The following is a 23,390-nucleotide window of genomic DNA, read 5'->3' on the forward strand; positions in this document are numbered from 1 at the left end:
GCAGATCACCTGAGGTCGGGAGTTCAAGACCAGCCTGACCAACATGGAGAAACCCCATCTCTACTAATAATACAAAATTAGCCGGGCATGGTGGTGCATGCCTGTAATCCCAGCTACTCGGGAGGCTGAGACAGAAGAATCGCTTGAATCCGGGAGGCGGAGGTTGCGGTGAGCTGAGATCGTGCCTGCACTCCAGCCTGGGCAAAAAGAGTCAAACTCTGTCTCAAAAAAGAGGAAAAAAAAAAAAAAAAAAAAAAAAAAGAATTTCTCTGTACTAGCAACAAATAATTGGAAAATAAAAATTTTAAAAATCATTTACAATAGCATCAAAAACATAAAACATTTAGGAATAAATCTTTGAGAAAGAGAAGGAATAAAATTTTTAAAAGAATATGCAAGATCCTTGAAAACTACCAAGCACTGCTGAGAGAAACTGAAGAGTCATTCACCATGTTCATGAATCAGAAAGGAGAGTAGCAAGACTCAACAAACAATTGCAAAAACCAAAATTTGACTGGACTCTAGTTATTTAAAAAGCAGTAATATAAACAACATTTTTGCTATAAATGAGGAAATTTGAAATATGCATGCACAGATAGATGATATTATAGAATTATAGTTAACTTCCTTAAGAGAAATAATGCTACTGCTGTTACACAGAAAAATGCCTGTATTCTTAAGAGATGAAAGATTAAGTATTAAAGGATGATATCTACATTTTACTTTCAAATGATTCATGAAAAAAGAATATACACACACATATATAAAGCAAATGTGACAGCATGTTAACAACTGCTGAATCTAGAATGGAGGGCACACAGGTTTTAATTATATTTGTTTTCAATGTTTCTGTAGGTTTGAAGATACTGCAAATAAAAATCAAAAAGGAAAGTGAATGGAAAACATTTAAAAAAAAAAGGTTTGAAGGAGAACATTCTAGGCAGAGAGAACAGCACCAGCTAAAGAGACACAATCTGTATGTAATTGCCCCCACCTAAACTGCTAAAGAGAATGAGCGGCACATGGAGCAAAACTGGATTCAACATGCAGTTGGGAAATAAGCTGACCTCAACCGTCTCTAGGTTAGCCATCCTCAGCCAAGGCTTAGGCTAAAACAAGGCCCAATCCCGTAGGAATTAGAATAAGTGTTCATCATTGTATGCCAATGAGTTCTGGCATGTTTTGTTACAGAATATTACTATGGCAAAAGTTGATACATGGGGAAATAAGGTTTTAGATTTAAAAAGTAACAGAACCAGTTGTATTTTATGAATATTATTCGGCTGAGAGAGTGAGGTATAGTCAAGAATAAGTAGAGAGGCTGGCAATAGGATTAGGATATTGCTAGAAGATTTAAAGTCTCTAGATAAGAATTCAGAGGTCATGGCAGCTAACGGATATGGAAAACGAGAAGAGTCAAAGACAACTTCAATATTTCAACCCTGGGTAAGAGTAATTTTAAAAATTACTGTACATAGGTTGGGCACGGTGGCTCATGCCTGTAATCCCAGAACTTTGGGAGGCCAAGGTGGGCAGATCACAAGGGCAAGAGATCGAGACCATTCAACATGGTGAAACCCCATCTCTACTAAAAATAGAAAAATTAGCTGGGTGCGGTGGCACGTGCCTGTAGACCCAGCTACTCGGGAGGCTGAGGCAGAAGAATCACTTGAACCCGGGAGGCAGAGGTTGCAGTGAGCCGAGATCACGCCACTGCACTCTAGCCTGGCAACAGAGAGAGACTCTGTCTCAAAAAAAAAAAAAAAAAAAAATTACTGTACACACACACACACACACACACACACACACACACACACACACACACATACACACAGGGTCAGGAAAACAAGACAACCTTTCTTAGTTGAAAGTAATGGCAGGACTGTCAAGTTACTCGAGAAACGTTTGCCTCAGAGACATAACTGACAGTCATTTTCCTTAAAGGAGACAACTATAAGCTGTGGCAGTAGGTAAGGGAGAGGTAGAAAGTAAAACAAAAGGAGCCAAATGCAGACCCTATAGAGATGTTGCACTTAAGAGAAGAAAAACCACCAAAGAAACAAATAAAGTTGATCTAACATACAAACTAAACAAAACTAGCTAACTTTCCTTTGAAGAATAACAAAAGTATTATAATTTGTGAATAATCACATATACACTAAAACTAAGGAATATCTGAAAGGGAACAAAATGAATCACTCAGTAAATATATAAATCTAACCAGACAATGCTGGTGTCCAAACAGGTGCTCAATAAATATGAGACGAATGGATGGACAGATAAAACTTAAGAGATATTGCCTATAGTTCTTACTTCTAATGGCACTTTAAAAGGATCGGTCTATATCTGTTGCATTTTCAGTGAGATGTATTATAATGTATGCTTATTGTTAATTTTTCGTAAAAAGAATTGTTTATATAATTTTCATGTTTTCTGAACTTTTGCCCTGAAGTATTCCTAATAGAGAAAGAGAACAAACACATATATAACACCATTACCCTGCCTCATTCCATGGAGGGGCATAGGGGACTGTCAGGCTTCAGTATGCATATCGAGAAGGGAAGCTAAAATTTTCACTACAATGCAGACTCTACCTTAAAATTCACTCAAATTTGGCTGGGCGCAGTGGCTCATGCCTGTAATCCCAGAACCTTGGGAGGCTGAGGTGGTTGGATCATGAGGTCAGGAGTTCGAGACCAGCCTGGCCAAGATGGTGAAACCCCGTCTCTACTAAAAATACAACAATTAGCCAGGCATGGTGGCGCACGCCTGTAGTCCCAGCTACTTGGGAGGCTGAGGCAGGAGAATCGCTTGAACCCGGGAGGCAGAGGTTGTGGTGAGCCGAGATCGTGCCATTGCACTCCAGCCTGGGTGACAAGAGCCAAACTCTGTCTTTAAAAAAAAAAAAATTCACTCAAATTTTATGCTCCAATAATAAAATAAAACCTATCATTAAAGTGGACTTCATGTACATTGTCTCATTTAAACAGTCTTATGAAATGTATACTATTATTATGATCATAAAGATGAGTATACTAAGGCTTAGCATTTAAGAAAGTAACCAAGGTCACGTAAGTAACAGAGCCAGAAATATAACTCATGCATTCTATTTTTTTTTGGACAGAGTCTTGCTCTGTTGACACCTCCCAGGTTCAAACAATTCTCCTGCCTCAGCCTCCTAAGTAGCTGGGATTACAGGTGCCCACCACCATGCCCAGCTAATTTTTTGTATTTTTGTAGAGATGGGATTTCACCATATTGGCCAGGCTGGTCTCAAATTCCTGATCTCAGGTGATCCACCCACCTCGGCCTCCCAAAGTGCTGGGATTACAGGCGTGAGCCACCATGCTCAGCCGACACATGCATTCTTAACTCACTATATGACTGTCCAATTTGCTTGATCTTGTGGCTTAGCATTGTACAAATAATCCAATTTAAAAAGCACACATTTAATAATACTGCTTTTATTTTCACAGTTGATACTTTTATCTCCTCTAATTATTGACAAAAGCACTTTCAGTTCTTTTTTTCTCCCACTGTTTTGATTGCTTTATATCTGTGGCCAGGATACTCATTTGGGAGAAACTGACCAGAGTTATACTGCTATTACTAGCTTTCAAACAAAACAAAGACACCAAGTTTACATATGGAGACCAAAATTTTCATCCTAAAAGAAGGGGTCGGCAAACTACAACCTGTGGGTCAAATGCTACCCAGGTCAAATGCTACCCACTGTTTTTTTTTTTTTTAAGTAAATTTTGCTGGAAAGCAGCCACTCCCATCCATTTACATGCTGTCCACAGTGGAGTTGAGAGTTGACTAGTTGCAACAAAAACTGTATGGCTCACAAAGCATAAAATACTTACTATCTGGTCCTTTACAGAAAAAGTTTGCAGGTCCTACCCTGGAGTCTTTAGTATTGTGCTTTAATCAACTGAAATAATTAGCCAAACTCTTTCTACTAAAAAAAGAAATATACAGAATAGTTATACAAAAAACACAATGGCTTTCCCCTCTCCAATATTTATGTTTATACATATACAAACTAATTTTTAATCACATTGGATTCTAAAATTTAGTGACTCTTGCAGAATATGATTCACATCCCACTGACCTCTGATATATATTTTTGTTTATCTTACTTAAAATTTAAAAGTGAAACCACAGTTTCCATCCCTAAAAGCAAACAGGTGGAAGAGGTGAAGCAATAGGGCAAAATGGAAAGCTCCACTGATTGTCCCAGCTGCATGGACACCAATTTAACAACTATCTACACAAAAAAAGCATCTTCCTGAGAACCAAAAATCAGGTGAGCACTCATAGCACCTGGTTTCAACTTCATATTGCTGAAAAAAAGAGATACAAAAAAGTCTTGAATCACCAACATCACCCCTCTCCCAGCCCCTGGCAGAGGCATTGTGGTGCAGAGAGCATTTCTGTGCACCGGGGAGAGAAAGAATGCAGCAATTGTTAGGCATTGAGCTCAGCACTGCCCTGTTACAGCAAAAAGTAAAACTGGATCAAACTTAGCTGACTCCTGTCCACAGAGGGAGCATTAAAACCCAGCCCTAGCCAGAGGGGAACTGTGGGTCCCAGTTGTCAAAATGTGAGTTCCTGCAAGCCTCACCATGGTGGGCTAAAGTGCTCTGGGGCCCTCAATAAACTTCAAACATAGTGCAGGCCACAAGGACCGCAACTACTAGGTGAGTCCAAGTGCAGAACTGGGCCCAGAGCCAGTGAGCTGGAGAGGCATGTGACCTACTGAGACACCAGCTGGGGCTGTTTAGGGACTGCTGGCACTACCCCTCCTTTAACCCAAGGCTGCACAGCTTGTGGCTCCAAAAGAGATCTTCTCCTTCCACTTGCGGAGAGAAGACTGGAGGGAAGAGTGGGGAGAACTTTGTCTTGCATCTTGGATACCAGCTCAGCCACAGCTGGATAGGGCACCAGTCAAAGTTGTGAAGACTGCTTTCCAGACTGTAGCTCCTGAACAACATTTCTAGATACACAGTGGCCAGAAGGGAACCCACTGCCTCGAAAAGAAAGACCCAGTCCTGACAGCTTTCATTATCTGTTAACTGAAGAGCCCTTGGGTCCCTGAATAATCAGCAGCAATATCCATGTACTAGGTACAAAGGCCTTGAGTGAGCCTGAAACTTCCTGGCTTCAGGTGAGACTCAGCACATTCCCTACCATGGCAGCTATGGGGCAAGACTCCTGCTTGAGAAAAGTGGAGGAAAAGTAAAGGGGACTTTGTCTTGTACCTTGGGTACCAGCTCCAACGTAGGAGGGTGAACAAATTCCAGGACTTGGTTCTTAGATGGCATTTCTGGACCTGTGCTGGGCCAGAGGGTAAGTCCCATGCCAGGCAGCATTCACCACAAGCTGACTAAAGAGCCCTTAAGGACCAGGCATGGTGGCTCACGCCTCTAATCCCAGCACTTTGGGAGGCCGAGGCTGGCAAATTACTTGAGGTCAGGAGTTCAAGACCAGCCTGGCCAACATGGAGAAACACTATCTCCACAAAAAATACAAAAATTAGCCAGCACAATGTCACATGCCTGTAGTCCCAGCTACTTGGGAGGCTGAGGTGGGAGGACTGCTTGAGCCTGGGAGGTAGAGAGTATAGTGAGCCGAGATTGTGCCACTGCACTCCAGCCTGGGCAATAGAGCCAGACCTTGTCTCAAAAAAGCCCTTGGGCTGGGCATGGTGGCTCACACTTGTAATCCCAGCAAGTTTGGGAGGCCAAGGCAGGCAGATCCTTGAGGTCAGGAGTTTGAGACCAGCCTGGCCAACATGGTGAAACCCCATCTCTACTAAAAATACAAAAATTAGCCAGGCATAGTGGTGCAGGCCTGTAGTCCCAGCTACTCAGGAGGCTGAGACAGGAGAATCGCTTGAACCCAGGAGATGGAGGAGCTGAGATTGCGTCACTGCACTCCAGCCTGGGCGACAGGAGACTCCGTCTCCAAACACAAACAAACAAAAAAACCCCTTGGGCCTCAAGGAAACACTGGCAGTATTCTGGCAGTACTCCCCACAGGCCCCTGGTGACAGTGGCCAAGGGGAGGTCTGGGGTGTTCCTCTGCCTTTGCAAAGGGGAGGGATGAGTGGTAAGGACTATTTTGTGGTTTGAGGGCCAGCTCAGCTGCAGTACAACAGAACACCAGGTAGACGTCTAAGGTTTTTCACTCTAGTCCCTGGCTCCCAGACAGCACCTCTGGAGTCACCAAGGGCCTGGGGAAACTAGCTGCCCCGAAGGGAAGGACACAGGCCAGGCTGGCTTTGCCACCTGGTGATTGTAGAGCGCCAGCACCTTGAGTGAAGATAGTCAGTAGCCAGGAAGTTGTTATAACAGGCCTTGGGTGAGACCCAGTGCTGTGCTGGCTTCAGGTCTGATCCAGTGTAGTCCCAGTGGTGGTAGCATCGCCACAGGGGTGCTTGTGTCACTCCACCCCCAGCTCCAGGTGCCTCAGAACAGACAAAGTTTGTTTTGGAAAAAGTAAGGAAAGAGAAAGAACAAGAGTCTCTGCCTGGTAATTCAGAGAATTCTTCCAGACCTTGTCTAAGACCATCAAGGCAGTACCTTTATGAGTCTGCCAGAACCACAGCACTACTGGGTGTGGGGTGCCAACTAAAGCAGATACAGCTTCTAAGCGATGACAACATCCAAGTCCTTCTGAATATCTGGAAAGCCTTTCCAAGAAGCACGAAGACACACAAGTCCAAACCGCGAAGACTACAATAAATACGTAACTCTAACTCTTTAATGCCCAGACAGAGAGGAACATCTGTTAAGTTATCAAGACCATCCAGGAAAACATGACCTCACCAAATGAACAAAATAAGGCACCAAAGACAAATCTTGGAGAAAAAGAAACACATGACCTTTCAGACAGGGAATTCTAAATAGCTATTTTGAAGAAACTCAAAGAAATTCAAGATAATACAGAGAAAGAATACCAGATAAATTTAACAAAGAGACTGAAATCATTTAAAAGAATGAAGCAATAATTCTGGAGCTGAAAAAATGTAATTGACATACCGAAGAATGTCTCAGAGTCTTTTAATAGGAGAATTGATCAAGCAGAAGAAAGAATTAGTGAGCTGAGGAGACAAAAGAAAAAAGAATAAAAAACAATAAGGCATGCCTACAGAATCTAGAAAAAAGGCCCAAAAGGGCAAATCTAAGTTACTGGCCTTAAAGAGGAGATAGATGGGGCAGAAAATTAATTCAAAGAGATAATGACAGAGAACTTCCCAAACATAGAAAAAGATATCAATATCCAAGTAGAAGACTGTAGAACACCAAGCAGACTTAATCCAAATAAGACTCTTTGAAGACATTTAATAATCAAACTTCCAAAGGTCAATGATAAACCAAGGATCCTGAAAACAGAAAGAGAAAAAAACAAGAGCTGGGCGCAGTAGCTCACACCTATAATCCCAGCTAACACGGTGAAACCTCGTCTCTACTAAAAATACAAAAAAATTAGCCGGGTGTGGCGGCGGGCACCTGTAGTCCCAGCTACTCAGGAGGCTGAGGCAGGAGAATGGCGTGAACCTGAGAGGTGGAGCTTGCGGTGAGCCGAGATAGTGCCACTGCATTCCAGCCTGGGCGACAGAGCAAGACTCCATCTCAAAAAAAAAAGAAAAAAAAACCTGTCTGAGAAAAAAACAAATAACATACAATGGTGTGCCAATATGCTGGCAGCAGACTTCTCAGGGCAAACTTTACAGGCCAGGAGAGAATGGCATGACATTTAAAGTATTGAAGGGAAAATTTATCCAGTGAAAATATCCTTCAAACATGAAAGATAAATACTTTTTTTTGAGATAGAGTTTCGCTCTTGTTGCCTAGGCTGGAGTGCAATGGCGCGATCTCGGCTCACCACAACCTTCGCCTTCCAGATAGTCATCAAAACAGCACGGTACTGGCATGATTCTCCTGTCTCAGCCTCCCAAGTAGCTGGGATTACAGACATGCGCCACCATGCCTGGCTAATTTTGTATTTTTAGTAGAGAAGGGGTTTCTCCATGTTGGTCAGGCTGGTCTCGAACTCCCGACCTCAGGTGATACACCCGCGTCAGTCTCCCAAAGTGCTGGGATTACAGCCATGAGCCACCGCACCCCACCCTGAAAGACAAATATTTTCCTAGACAAACAAAAGCTGAGGAATTTTATCAACACTAGACCTGTGGAACAAGAAATGCTAAATGGAGGTCTTCAATCTGAAAGAAAAAAACATTAATGGGCAATAACAAATCATCTAAAGGTATAAAACTCAATAGTATACAGAAAAATACAGAATATTACAACACTGTAATTATGGTGTGTAAACTACTCTTAAGTAGAGAGACTATAAACAATTAACCAATCAAAAATAACAACTACAACAACTTTTCAAAACAGAGTATAAGATATAAATAGAAACAACAAAAAGTTAAAAAGCAGGAGTACAAAGTTAAGGTGTAGAGTTTTCATTACTCTTCTTTTTGCTTATTTGTTTATACAAACAGTGTTAAGTTGTTATCAATTTAAAATAATGGGTTATAAGATAGTATCTGCAAGCCCCATGGTAACCTGAAACCAAAAGCATATAATGAATACACAAAAAATAAAAAGCAAAAACTAAATCATATCACCAGAGAAAATCACCTTCACTAAAAACAAAACAGCAAGAAAAAAAAGGAAGAGAAAACTGCAAAACCACCAGAAATGAGTAACAAAATAGGAGGAGTGTGTCCTTACTTATCAATAACATTGGATGTAAATGAACTAAACTCATGAATCAAAAGACATAAAGCTGCATGAATAGAAAAATAAGACCAAATGACCTGTTGCCTACAAGAAACACACTTCACTTATAAAGACAAACAGACTCAAAATAAAGGGATGGAAAAAGATATCCCATGCCAGTGTTAGCCAAAAGGGCAGGAGTAGCTACCATATCAGAGAAAATAGATTACAAAAGTGTAAGAAGAGACAAAGAAGGTCACTATATAATGATAAAGTGGTCAAATTAGCAAGTGGATATAATCATTGTAAACATATATGCACCCAACATTGGAGCACCTAGACATACAAAGCAAATATTATTAGAGTTAAAGAGAGAAATAGACCTCAGTACAGTAATAGATGAAGCCTTCAACACTCCACTTTTGGCACTGGACAGAGATGTACAGACAGAAAACCAACAAAGAAACATGAGACTTAATCTGCACTATAGACCAAATGGACCAAACACATATTTACAGAACATTTCATCCAATGGCTGCAGAATAAACATTGTTCTCCTTAGCACATGGATCACTCTCAAAGACACACCATATGTTATGTCATAAAACAAGTCTTAAACCATTCAAAAAAACTGAAATAGGCCAGGCATGGTGGTTCACACCGGGTAATCCCAGCACTTTGGGAGGCCAAGGCGGGTGGATTACTTGAGGCCAGGAGTTCAAAACCAGCCCAGTCAACATGACGAAACCCCATCTCTACTAAAAAATAGCCTGGAGTGGCCTGTAATCCCAGCTTCTTGGGAGGCTGAGACATGAGAATCACTTGAATCGGGGGGGTGGAGGTTGCAGTGAGCCGAGATCAGGCCACTGTACTTACTCCAGCCTAGACAACACAGTGAAACTCCATCTCAAAAGAAAAAAAGAAAAACTATCAAAGAAATTGAAGAGGACACAAAAAATGGAAGATATTCCATGTTCAATATTGTTAAAATGTCCATACCACCTATAGCAATCTACAGATTCATTGCAATCCTTATCAAAATACCAATGACATTGATCACAGAAATAGGAAACACAATCCTAAAATTTACACAGAACCACAAAAGACCCAGAATAGTCAAAGCTATCTTAAGCAAAAAGAACAAAACTGCGAGGAATCATATTACCTGACTTCAAATTATAGTGCAGCGGTATAGTAATCAAAAGAGCATGGTACTGGCATGAAAACAGACACATAAACCAATGGAACAGAACAAATTTGTTTCTAGAGAACCTAGAAACAAATCTACACACCTAAAATGAACTCATTTTTGACAAAAGAACCAAGAACATACACTGGACAAAAGACAGTCTCTTCAATAAATGGTACTGGGAAAACTGAATATCTGTATGAAGAAGAATCAAACTAGACCCCTATCTCTTACTATATATAAAAATCAAATCAAAATGATTAATGATTAAATCTAAGACCTCAAACTATGAAACTACTTAAGAAAACATTAGGGGAAACTCTCCAGGACATTGGTCTGGGCAAAAATTTCCTAATGCCCCACAAGCACATGCAACCAAAGCAAAAGTGGACAAACGGGATTACATTAAATTAAAAAACTTCTACACAGCAAAGGAAACAGTCAACAAACAGAATGGGAGGAAATATTTGCAAACTAATCATCTGACAAGGGATTAATAACCAGAATATATAAGGAGCTGAAACAATTCTATAGAAAAAAATGCAATAATCCAATTTAAAAAGTGGGCAAAAGAGCTGAATAGACATTCCTCAAAAGAAGACATAAAAATACCAAACAGGCGGCAGGGTGCGGTGGCTCATGCCTGTAATCCCAGCATTTTGGGAGGCTGAGACGGGTGGATCGCCTGAGCTCAGGAGTTCAAGACCAGCCTGGGCAACACGGTGAAACCCCGTCTCTAATAAAATACAAAAAATTAGCTGGGCATGGTGGCGTGGGCCTGTAGTCCCAGTTAATTGGGAGGCTGAGGCAGGAGAATTGCTTGAACCCAGGAAGCGGAGGTTGCACTGAGCAAAAAAAAAAAAAAACAAAACAAAAACAAACGGGCATATGAAAAGGCGCTCAATACCACCGAACACCAGTGAAATGCAAATCAAAACTACAGTAAGATATCTCACCCCAGTTAAAATGGCTTTTATTCAAAAGACAGGCAATAACAAATGCTGGCAAGGATGTGGACTAAAGGGAACCTTCGTACATTGTTGGTGAGAATGTAAATTAGTACAACCATTATGGAGAACAATTTGGAGGTTCCTCAAAAAACTAACAATAGAGCTACCACATGATCTAGCAATCCCACTGCTGAGGAGCTACCCAAAAGAAACGAAAGCAGTATATCATACAGGTATTTGCACTACCAGGTCTACTGCTACACTGTTCACAATTGCCAAGATTTGGAAGCAATCTAAGTGTCCATCAGTAGGTGAATGAATAAGGCCGGGTGCAGTGGCTTGTGCCTGTAATCCCAGCACTTTGGGATGCTGAGGTGGGCGGATCACAAGGTCAGGAGATAGAGACCATCCTGGCTAACACGGTGAAACCCCGTCTCTACTAAAAATACAAAATAAAAAAAAATTAGCCAGGTGTGATGGCAGGCGCCTGTGGTCCCAGCTGCTCGGGAGGCTGAGGCAGGAGAACAGCATGAACCCAGGAGGCGGAGCTTGCAGTGAGCCAAGATCGCACCACTGCACTCCAGCCTGGGCAACAGAGGAAGACTCTGTCTCAAAAAAAAAAAAAAAAAAATACAAAAATTAACTGGGTGTGGTGGTGTACGCCTGCAATCCCAGCTACTCAGGAGGCTGAAGCAGCAGAATCGCTTGAACCCGGGAGACGGAGGTTGCAGTGAGCTGAGACTGTGCCACTGCACTCCAGCCCTGGCAATAGAGCAAGATTCCATCTCAAAAAAAAAGAACGAATACAGAAAATGTGGTATTTATACACAATGAAGTACTATTCTGGCCAGGCTTGGTGGCTCACGCCCGTAATCCCAACAGTTTGGGAGGCTGAGGCAGGTGGATCATTTGAGGCCAGGAGTTCGAGACCAGCCTGGCCAACGTGGTGAAACCCCATCTCTACTAAAAATACAAAAAATTAGCCAGTTGTGGTGGCAGATGCCTGTAGTCCCAGCTACTCGGGAGGCTGAGGCAGAGAATTGCTTGAACCTAAGAGGTAGAGGCTGCAGTGAGCCAAGATCACGCCACTGTACTCCACCCTGGACGACAGAGTGAGACTCCATCTCAAAAAAAAAAAAAAAAAGAGTGACATTCCTGTGTCATGTGCAACAACATGGACAAAACTGGAGGACATTATTTAAGTGAAATAAGCCAGGCACAGAGACAAATATCGCATGTTCTCACTTATTTGTAGGATCTAAAAATCAAAACAATTTATCTAATGGAGACACAGAGTAGAAGAATGGTTACCAGAAGCTGGGAAGGGTAGTGGGGAGGCAGGGGCATGGGTGAGGTTGGGATGGCTAATAGATAAAAATAAAAATATTAAAAAAAAAATGAGTAAGACCTAGGTTTTTCTTTTTTTGAGACAGAGTCTCACTCTGTTGCCCAGGCTGGAGTGCAATGGCACGATTTCGACTCACTGCAACCTCCACCTCCTGGGTTCAAGCAATTCTCCTGCCTCAGCCTTCTGAATAGTTGGTATTACAGACACGTGCCACCACGCTCAATTAATTTTTGTAATTTTTAGTAGAGATGGGGTTTCACCATGTTGGCCAGGCTGGTCTTGAACTCCTGACCTCAAGTGATCCACCGGCCTCAGCCTCGCAAAGTGCTGGGGTTACATTACTGGAGTGAACCACCGCACCCGGCCAAACCTAGTATTTCATAGCACATCTCATGTACCCCATAAAGATATACCTACTATGTACTCACAAAAATTAAGAATTAAAAAAAATTAAAGAAACGCAACCAGTGTTTGCAGTTTGTATATCTTGCTGATATGATATATACGTTTTTGAAAAGAAATGTTAATGTTAGAATAAAAATAATATATTCGCATAGTAGATAAGGTTCAATCAGCCATCATTTTCTCCAGGAAGTCTTCCTTAGTCCTTCATAGTTACATGCCCTCCCAAGTGTTCTCATAGCACTCTGCATTTTCCCTAATCTAGTACTTACCATGCTGTAACATAAAGACCAAAAAGTTTAGACAATCTCTCAATATTGTAAGCTCAACAAGGGCAGAAATCATGTCTTTTATCACTACATCACTAATATCTAATATAATAATAAGCACATAGTAGGCACTCTATTTGCAAAATGAATTTTAAAAAGAAGTCACACGGTAGAAGTTCAAAACAACTTATGTGTTTAGGATTATTGCCTAAATGTACAAAATAAAACCTATATAAGTTTGATTATAACACTTTTATTTCACATTTTAATTAAAGTTTAGTATTCTTGCTTAAAAACCTCAGTTCAAGGGTGGTTATGGTGAGTATGTTTTATCTGTTTGGTTTTATTTAAGGGTTCTACATAAAATAGTTTGAAAATCACTGATTTAGATCAGCACAAATATGTAGCGACTAGGCTAGACAGACCAAGTAAGGCTTCTCTTTTGGCATACCAGCATGTCTATAATGTACTACGTGGAACTCGGAAACTACTAAATAACCCAATTATTTGCCAGTAAACTCATTTAGCTGATAATACATCCATTCCTGACAGCAGGTACCAAAGGTATTTTCTTATGATGCCATTTGGAGCACTGAAAACAATTTTTAATTCAAAAACTTTCCAAAGGACATGACATATGGGAGGAACAAGTGCATCCATAAATCCTGAAATGAATAGGGAACACAAAGTCCAGTTCTCTGGTTCATAATCATCCTCCAGAGTTAGAGAAAGAAGAAAACTGAGGAAATTCCCCTTAATTCTTAACCATAGAGCAGAGGGAAGGAATTTAGGCAGCTGTCAGATACAAGGTGTCTTTGAATAAACAAGTTTTGATAGTAATAGGTTTCTTGAATGATACAAATAAATCGTCCCTCGTAGTTCATATCTACAGATACCTATTTATGGCAGAGCAGGATGAAGAAAGTTTCCTCTAAGGCATAGAAGAAAGATAATTCACTGCTCTAAAGCCTCCCAAAAAGAGATGTTTAAGAAAGTCATACCAGTATCATCCTGCTTTTGACTTTTGTAACTACTGCAAACAAGAACCCAGTTTCCTCATAACCCAATAATTTCTTCAAGTCAAAAGTAGTGGTTTTCCATTCAAGTGGTGGTGGTAACAAAATCACTGTCTTATGAATATATAATAACTTACATATATTGTATTATTTATTTTTTTGAGACGGAGTCTCACTCTTTTGCCCAGGCTGGAGTGCAGTGGTATGATCTCAGCTCACTGCAACCTCTGCCTCCTGGGTTCAAGCGATTCTCTTGCCTTAGCCTCCTGGGTAGTTGGAATTACAGGCATGCACCACCATACCCAGCTAATTTTTTTTTGTATTTTTAGTGGAGACGGGGTTTCACCATGTTGGCCAGGTTGGTCTCAAACTCCTGACCTCAAGTGATCCGCTCGCCTCACCACCCAAACTGCTGGGATTACAAGCATGAGCCATCACGCCCAGCCCATACTGTATAATGTAAACAATACATAAATCTTGGAAAACTATCAGGGCTGGTATTTCAATCCTTATAGATAATTCTTCATTTGCATATGGGATAAAGAAAAAGACTTCTTCAAAATCACAGTGGTAGGAAGCAACACAGAGGGGTTAGAAATATGATCTTTTTGATTCCTAGTCCAGCGCCTATAATATAATACTATATGTGATCTAGAATATGAACTTCTAGATCTAGGGGCATAAAATAAAATCAAGCCCCCTTCTAAAGAGATTATACTACTATATCTGCTGATATAAATGTGGACATTCATTTTTCCAGTCTATGAAAAGGGGCAAAATACCGACTATATAGGGTTTTAAAGTTAAATATATCTAGAGTATTCACATGAACTACAGACAAAGGAGGTTCTAGTGGTTAGCAAGCAATAAATTTTCCCTTCCCCTTCAACTATCAAGATGTGAAGATTCTAGTATTTAGAATGAGTCCATCAAAAAGGTCTTTGAAGATGAAACTCTATCAAGTTCTTCCTTAGTTGAGACTGAAGTTACTGAGCTAGGCAGGTAATTTAACTTACTTGCTTAAGTTCTGCCTATAGTTTGAAAGAAAAAATGTTCAATTTCCCCCGCTTCTCTGCCCCTTCCATTTTCTCGAGGTAAAAGACACAGCTAAGAAAAAAAAGTATTTCTTAAAGGGGGGAATAAAGATAAGCAGATAATGAAAGCACAGAATGAGTAATTATTTGGTAATAGGGTCCAGCTGAAAAGGGATTGTTCACCAAAGCAGTAGGATGAAGTCCAGAGAAAAGAAACAATCTAATTAATCTCTTGAATCCTCGGCAAACAGTACACAGAAAGGTAGAGACCCATCTCATGTAGTTAGAGAATCTTCTTAGTAACTGTTTACTGCAGACCTGGACCCTGATATGCTAAAAGAAAGCCCTGTTCTGGGTAAAGGCAAACATAAGAATGACCTGTTTCCCTAGGAAATACATGGCTATGATTTCATCAATCAAAATGAAGAGAAATGAGTTGTTTTTCTAGGAATCTTGGACATACTAAATACCAAAGAAAAAAGTAAGTCCAGAAAGTTAAGTAGTTGAGAAAAATACCCAGGAGCTTCACTAAAATAGGAAAATAAATGGCCGGTAAAGGTTTGTTCTTAGACAAAGAACAGATGGATTATCTCCTTTATCCCTTTATTATTTACCTTAGCACTAGGCAAGAGGGTCTGAAAATGCAAAGAAGCTGTTAAGGAGAAGAAACTAAAGATTAAAGGTTCATGTGGGTTTTTTAGTCATTCCATAGGTTAGAAACATACGCTTCTCCCTTAGGTCATGTCTCATCTAAATAGCAACTTGAGAAAACCAAATGGCATAACAGAGGTATACCTACCAACTGTCAGGGATGAAAATCCATCTTTAATGAAACAGCTCAGAGTCTACTTCTTCATATAACTTTGAACTGCTACAAGTGTAAAGGGTACTATTTGTTACACTGGGAAGAAGGGCAGGGAAGAACAATAGGCAAATTAATGAATTACATACGGTTCCAATTTTAAATTAGTCATTTGTTTCAAATGAAATGTTCTACTTTGAGGCCATTAGTACCCTACAGCAAAAGAACACAAGTTTTAATGTTCATAATTACAACTAGGACCCAATCTCTTTCACAAGATAACCACTTACAGCTAACAAAAACCATATAATGCAAACTAACAAATTATATTCTTCATAAGGAAATATAAGGAGAATTCTAACTCATTAGTATGTTATTGTTCTGCCCAACTATGGATAAGTTATCTATACATGCCTAACAAAGTCAGGTAAGACCAGAGCTCCAAAGGACAGGTTTATTACTTCTTTTAAGAGAAAGTATAGATAACTTTTCCAAATTTCTATAATATGCATTGTTTTTGCCAATCTAAATCTTTAATAGATTAATGTTAAAATGAACAGTATCAATCTGTTAATAGGAATGGGGAAAGAGGAAAATAAAGGAATGATTGGACATACCCTATGTAGTATTTCTAAAACCTTTAATGCAGTATGAAGAAAACTGTTGAAAATTCTTCTTTCAGAAGGGGGAATACCGATCTTGTAGAGTTTCAAAAGATGTACCACAACTTCCTTAAAAAGTTCTACTATCTTGAGGAATAGTGGAGGTTCAAGTACTGACCACCAGTTTTCTGTTATTAAAAAGTGAACATGCAAATAAAATGAATTTTTTAAAAAATCACAATTTTCAAAATCATACTGACTTTTTTTCTGAAACAGTAGTTGTTAAACCTGAGAAAACCCCAGAAAGATGCATATAACACAATATCTTATGTAACATTTGTAAGGTTTATAAACCTCCCCCCGACCAAGTTAAACAATATTGTCCGAAAAGCTCTCAAAAGCAAAAATAAAGTGTGAAAGTCTTGTTGAATTTATATTCTTGGTTTCCTAAGTTATATAAAAAACTCACCACTATACCTAATATTAAAACCAGTTTTTAAAAAATGTTTTGAAAATTACAGTTTCAATTTTTAAACAAAACATCCTTTAAATTGTATTGCTCTAATACTAAAGGATCTTTCTAACTTTTATCTTTCAATTTAATATATGGTTGAAATATTGTGAACCACTACCTTTAAAATGCAAGGTACTCCTGAAGATCAAATACAGAAGCTGAACAATGTAAAGTGTAACATATGGGTCCTTCCCCACATTCACTATTTGTAGTTACTAAGTACAAACACTTCAATCCTATGAAGCAGGCAGAAAGAATACAAAAACTTCTGACAACAGGAAAGCAATACTCTTTTCAGTCCCTGCTTGACTCTTTTTCCCTCAGATTCCCATATTCTACCCCTTGCTTGTTGCTTCCTCCATTTACCCTCAGCCTTAAAGTTCTTGTACTGACATTATTACTTCTATATATCTCAGCTCCACATATCTAACAAATACCATTAGAAAGAAAAGCACTGGGTTAAATGTAGCAAAAAAAGTATAAAGGCCAGGAAATAGAGATAAAATCTAGACAATTAGAAAAATTAAAGTGAGAAAACTTTATGCCAAAAAACCAGAACAGTAAGAGATAGAAGTGCAAGATCAGATGAGCAATAAAATCTAGTCTATAGGCAGAAAAATAAAATCAAATATCATGAAATTAGCAAGTGAAGGAAACACAAGATAAAGGGCTTATATCAGGGTTCCAAGAAGATTTAAAGCCCATGTTTGTTCAGTTTTAATTGTTCCTCCTCCTTTACTTCTTTAATAGCAAGATTATACTAAAGGCGATGAGGGAAAGGAATACGGGTGACAGTTTTTAACTTTCCTAATACTGTCTCTGCTGTTATGTTTAATTGAACTTCTATATCTAACATGTTTTTCTTTCAACAACTCCAACAACTAGAATCAAAAGACTAGACAAAAGCAAGAAAAGGAAAAACAGGTTCATTTTTGCCTAAGACAGTGTCAAATAAGCAGGGCAGCAGAACTGCAAATGGCAAAAGAACTTATGAAGCATTTTCATTTAAAGAGAAAAGGTTTCAAAAGAAAAAATATTAGAATTCTTACCAAGTACTTTCAGTGGTGCCTTTTCTAGGTTCACAAGAGCTGTACCAAAGGGAATTGCTATTGTTGTGAAATTGTTGGAATCACTCATCAGGGGACATTCTGGTAGAGTAAGATAAAACCTCAATGCTTCAACATCAGGTAAGGAGCTAGTCAGTTTAGGAATAAGATTCTTTTCCAAACTAGCTGCCACCTATATTTTGACAAAAAGTAAAACCTACTTCATTTAAAATGAATACACTTTCAAAGAAAAAAAAAAAAAAGGAAGGCAGGAAGAAAAGAAAGAAAAGGAAAATTTTGCACTACAGCAAATATGAAATGGTGAAGAAGAAAAAAGAAAGACAATGTCTTACAATGAATATACTTTGGAGCACAATGAAAATTAATGCCTAAGCATTACTTGGAGAATTTAAAAAATCACGTGTACAAGTCTCAATTTAAACTCTCTACCTCTATAACCATACACAAACTTAAGCAACGTGGTAATGTTAAGTAATTCAGGGTCTGCTTCAAACATCTGAAAAGATTTATAGATCTTTGACAGCTAAATTACAAATGCTTTAAAATAAAATCTTATTTTAAAAGCACATCGTAAGAGTCTGTGAAACTGCAAAGTAAATTAGGCTATAAACGTATAAAACAAAAGAAAACAAAATCAACAGATAATACTGTAAACATAATACTTTAAAAACAGACCTGCTGAGATATCTGCGGATGATCAGGTTGTATAAGTTTGTGGAATAAAAGCCTAGCAGCATTCATATCAACCCCTGAAAATCTGGTACCTGTTCTATAGTGATCATCATTGCTAAAAAACAGAAAAGAAAAAAAAAAATAGAATAAAAATTTAAAATTATTTCATTTTTTAATTTGATATACTATTTAAGACAATAAATTTGAAAATTTCAGCATATTAAAGAATTGCCACTTACCTAACAGCTAAAAAACTTCCATTTAGGCAACCAGAGGAAGAAAACGTTCCATCTATCTCACTAAAAAATTTAAAAAAGTTTTTTTAATCATAGAATCAGAAATTTAATTGTTTACCCTTTCTTAAAAAAGAATTAAAATGAATAATTAATCTAATGTTTAATGCTACAGAGCACTCCTCTAACACCCAATTAGATGAATCAGAATTACATAAATTGCTAAAGACTGATAAAATAATACTTGATGAAGGTATTACTGTTTATTCTAGACTTTCTTAAATATTACTTTCATCCATTTATCCAATGTTATCTGCTTTAAAACATGGTATTTTAAAAATTAAGTGTGTATGTTCATGTAAAAAGTTTTTTAATTTAAAAAAATTTTAAACATTTTATATTGGCAGTGAGCCTAATCTGGGATGCCTTTGGGATTTTCAGAAAAATTATAGTTTTGGAAAACAAGCTAGAGAAACAAAACAGCTTTTCAAATACAACCCATCATCCCAAATACCAACAAAAAACAAATAACATCTTAAGTGCTACTAGGCAAGTTAACAAAATATTCAAGAAAGAAATAATACTCAAGTCTTCCACAAAGTATAAAAGTTAAGATAGTGACCATTATAAAACCAGAAGGAACACATTTCAAGGCCAATCCTAAAATGGCTACATTAAATATTTTATGTTATCATTTAACATATCTCTATGCACATGAAAGAACTACAACTTATACATATTTAATTAAGATCTTTAAAAATATCCATGGATATTTTTTTTTGGAGACAAGTTCTCACTTTGTTGCCCAGGCTACAGTGCAATGGTGTTAATCTCAGCTCACTGCAGCCTCGACCTCCTGGGCTCAGCTGATCCTCCCACCTCAGCCTCCCAAGTAGCTGAGACCACAGGTGTGCACCACCACGCCCAGCTAATTGTATTTTTTTGTAGAGACAGGGTTTTGCCATGTTGCCCAGGCTGGTCTCCAATTCCTGGGCTCAGGCAATCTGCCTGGTGCTGGGATTACAGGCATGAGCCACTGTGCCTGGCCCAAAATGCTTTTCTTACTTGGCTATCTCCACAGGAAACCTTCCAGAAGGATAGCTCAGCCATTTCTGAATTAGAGCTTCATTCACTGTCCAGATCTGCTTTGTCGGATTGGGACATCTGAAGTCATCTGGTGGCCCACAGTTCTAAATTTTCAAATAAGATTAGTCAGAGGGAAGAGATATTATATATAACTCAAAAACCAAGAAATTCCCACCATATATTTGTTCTTTAAACAGAATTAAATCTCTCCTGAACACCTGAAACAAAAACCTATCAAATAGATCAGAAAAAACTTATTCTGTAGACTTAAGGGGAAAAAAACTAAGGCAATTACTTTGTAACATATAAAGAACATTAATAATGGGTTTTTAAAATTTGTCAAAATTATTGGAGCTATTTAATTATTTACATGACTATATTATTACCTGGGGACTAGAGTAATGTGAAAAGCTTTGATCTCCCCCTGAGAAAATTCTTTTTACACAGAAATATTCTTCAGAATCTGTAATAAAAATGTAAAAAATTAAAAGCCAAGATTTACATAACATATTTCAGAGCATCAATATGCCATTAGATTTTCACATAATCATCTTATTTAATAAGGCCTCCCATTCATGGACTTCATGGTATAAAGTGACTTGAAATATTCTGACTGCTATGGGGATGAGACTGACCAAATGATGAACATTAAACGATCCCACAAGCATAAGCAGCATTTGGTGAAGTTTACAAGCCTTTCTTCTGCCCTGCACCAAGAAAAAAAGCTTTTTCTAATCTGCATCTCAGTATATTTCAGTTTAAACCAAAGATGATTTAAAAAAAATAGAACAAAAGCTACAAAAGATAGCTAGAAGGAAATAAAAATCAAGAGTATTTATTCTTGGCGAGGCACAGTGGCTCATGCCTGTAATCCCAGCACTTTGGGAGGCTGAGGTGGGAGGATCATTTGATGTTAGGAGTTCGACGCCAGCCTGGCCAATATAGTGAAACCCCATCTCTACTAAAAATACAAAAATTAGCCAGGCGTGGTGGTGTGTGCCTGTAATCCCAGCTACTTGGGAGGCTGAGACAGGAGAATCGCTTGAACCCAGGAGGCGGAGGTTGCAGTGAGCCGAGATCACCCCACTGCACTCCAGCCTGGGCCAGAGCATAAGACTCCACCTCAAAAAAAAAAAAAAAAGAAAGAATTGAACTGGGCTACAGTGGCACATGTCTGTAGTCCCAGCTACTTGGGAGAGTGAGGCAGGAGGATGGCGTGAGCCCAGTTCAAAGCTGCAGTATGCTATGACTGCATCTGTGACTAGCCACTGCACTCCAGCAAGCAACATAGCAAGACCCATCTCTAAAAAAAAAAAAAATTATTCTTAAAAAGAAACAGCAAACAAAAATTAAAACTTCTGGAGTAAATATTTCATAATGCAGAATTTTTTTTTTCAATATAGGTGTACAAGATAATACATACAGCTCTTTGTTGGCAGCTATTTGTCAGTAAAAGCCAAATTAGGCCCCAAAGTGAATACATTAATAAGCAAATTTATTAGGAATAAAGAAAGGGCAACAAAGTTTCTTTTGAAAAAGATATTCCGGGCCTCTTTTTTTTCTTTTCTTCTGCTCCCCAAACTGGAAAGAGTATCTATTACCAAAAATATTGCTTGGCTAGTCCATAGTCTATCCCTGTTATCCTATTCCCATTCCTTAGTTGACTAATTCTTCACCTTGTATTATTTGTGACCATGGCTGCTATAGAATTATCCATTCTTTTCAAGGAAATGACCACATGTTAATTTCCTTGATTATTCCTTACAAGCAAGCACAATGTTTTATTTGTAAAAGAAATCAGTAAATACCTGTCCATACAAATATGCAATTGTTATCTAGGTTATACCAAAAATGAGCTTCAGAGTTTAGAACAATAATTTGATAATTACTATCAAATTTTCCGTAAGTCACAAGAATACCCTAAGGCCAAAAACAAGTTTTAAGAATAGAATAAAAGGGTAAATCTTTATTAAATAAGCCAATTATTCAACCTAAAATCTTTTTTCTAAATAATTCTCACAAATCTATATGGAATTGCTCATTTCCTCAAAAGATTTAGCAGGATGTTATTTATTTACTCTTAAAATGTGATTGTGCCCTCTATAAACAATTCCCTACAAGATGGTTGACTAATCTACAGTACATGAATGGGTTTCTGGAGGCTATGAGTTAGGTACCAAAAGTTAAGTTTCCTTAATTTCCTTTTTTTATTTTTATTTATTTCTTTTTTGAGACGGAGTTTCACTCTTGTTGCCCAGGCTGGAGTGCAGTGGCGCGATCTTGGTTCACCGCAACCTCCATCTCCCAAGTTCAAGCGATTGTCCCACCTCAGCCTCCCAATTAGCTGGGATTACAGGCATGGGCCACCACTCCTGATTAATTTTTTATTTTTAGTAGAGACGGGGTTTCTCCATGTTGGTCAGGCTGGTCTCGAACTCCCAACCTCAGGTGATCCGCCCACCTCAGCCTCCCAAAGTGTCAGAATTACAGGTGTGAGCCACTGCACCTGGCCTTATTTTTATTTTTTGAGACAGGTCTCACTCTGTCGCCCGGGTTGGAGTGCAGTGGCATGATCTCGGCTTACTGCAACCTCAGCCTCCCGAGTAACTGAGATTACAGGCGCCCACCACCACATCTAATTTTTGTATTTAGTACAGATGGGGTTTCACCATTTTGGTCAGGCTGGTCTCGAACTCCTGACCTCAAGTGATCTGCCCACCTCAGCCTCCCAAAGTGCTGGGATTACAGGTGTGAGCCACTGCATCCTATCCTTAATTTCCTTTTAATCACTACTCGAAAAAGTTTGAGAAACCTAGTCATTTGTCCTGTACAACTTTATGCAGACTGGATTTTGCTGACTTTATCTTTGTGGTTTCTCCTAACATTTGGCTTGGTCTTCTGTTCTGTAAATTGGTGGTTGAATCTAGACAGGTTTCAATCACCATTTGGTTATTTCAGTAAAACTACTACATGGAGGCAGGAGAGTAGTTCCATCAGGAAACACATAATTCCTTTGAGAAGAATTTTCACTGAGTTCTTTTTTGTGGTGGTAGTAGGCATTGATGCTCATTCACTGTAGGTTGAAAAATTAAGTGTTAGCATTACTTCATATTGTAGCTGAAGCATTAGTTTCTCCCTATTATATAGTTATCTTATAACAGGAAAGAGAGGATTAATGCTTGATCTATTACAATTATTTACTGTCCTCTTGCTTTTCAAATTTGCATTTCTTTGATACTAAAGAGGGTAATAATTTTTGCATGTTTCCTAGTAATATAAATTTCTTCTTTTAGGAACTTCCATTAATTTCCTTTATTTATTGTTTGTCTTATTTATCTATTAGCTGTCTTTTTTTTTTTTCATTAATATGTATGGACACTTTAGATATTCAGGATATTAACCTTAGGTTGTAATTGCTACAAATATTTTTTCCAAATAATTATTTGCTTAATTTTGACTCACAGA

At 38.6% G+C, this 23,390-nt stretch overlaps 1 protein-coding gene across 23 annotated transcripts in view; it reads right to left on the bottom strand.

The window, feature by feature from the left end:
• HERC4 (HECT and RLD domain containing E3 ubiquitin protein ligase 4) overlaps positions 1 to 23,390 on the bottom strand; it is a 153,379-nt gene that overhangs the window by 50,390 nt on the left and 79,599 nt on the right. For 17 of the 23 annotated variants that reach the window (NM_001278186.2, NM_015601.4, NM_001278185.2 and 14 more), the window contains 6 exons: positions 20,312 to 20,388; positions 19,905 to 20,029; positions 18,846 to 18,905; positions 18,610 to 18,721; positions 17,917 to 18,106; positions 16,369 to 16,541 (listed from right to left, as the gene is read on the bottom strand). In NM_001278186.2, the coding sequence (NP_001265115.1) occupies positions 16,369 to 16,541; positions 17,917 to 18,106; positions 18,610 to 18,721; positions 18,846 to 18,905; positions 19,905 to 20,029; positions 20,312 to 20,388 (737 nt within the window). Of the gene's footprint in view, positions 1 to 15,753; positions 15,851 to 16,368; positions 16,542 to 17,916; positions 18,107 to 18,609; positions 18,722 to 18,845; positions 18,906 to 19,904; positions 20,030 to 20,311; positions 20,389 to 23,390 lie in introns of those variants that run through there. The other 6 variants (XM_047424999.1, XM_017016041.3, XM_047424998.1 and 3 more) reach the window with 2 other exon arrangements.

Source organism: Homo sapiens, chromosome 10 (genome assembly GCF_000001405.40).
Source record: "Homo sapiens chromosome 10, GRCh38.p14 Primary Assembly".
Lineage (NCBI taxonomy): Eukaryota > Metazoa > Chordata > Mammalia > Primates > Hominidae > Homo > Homo sapiens.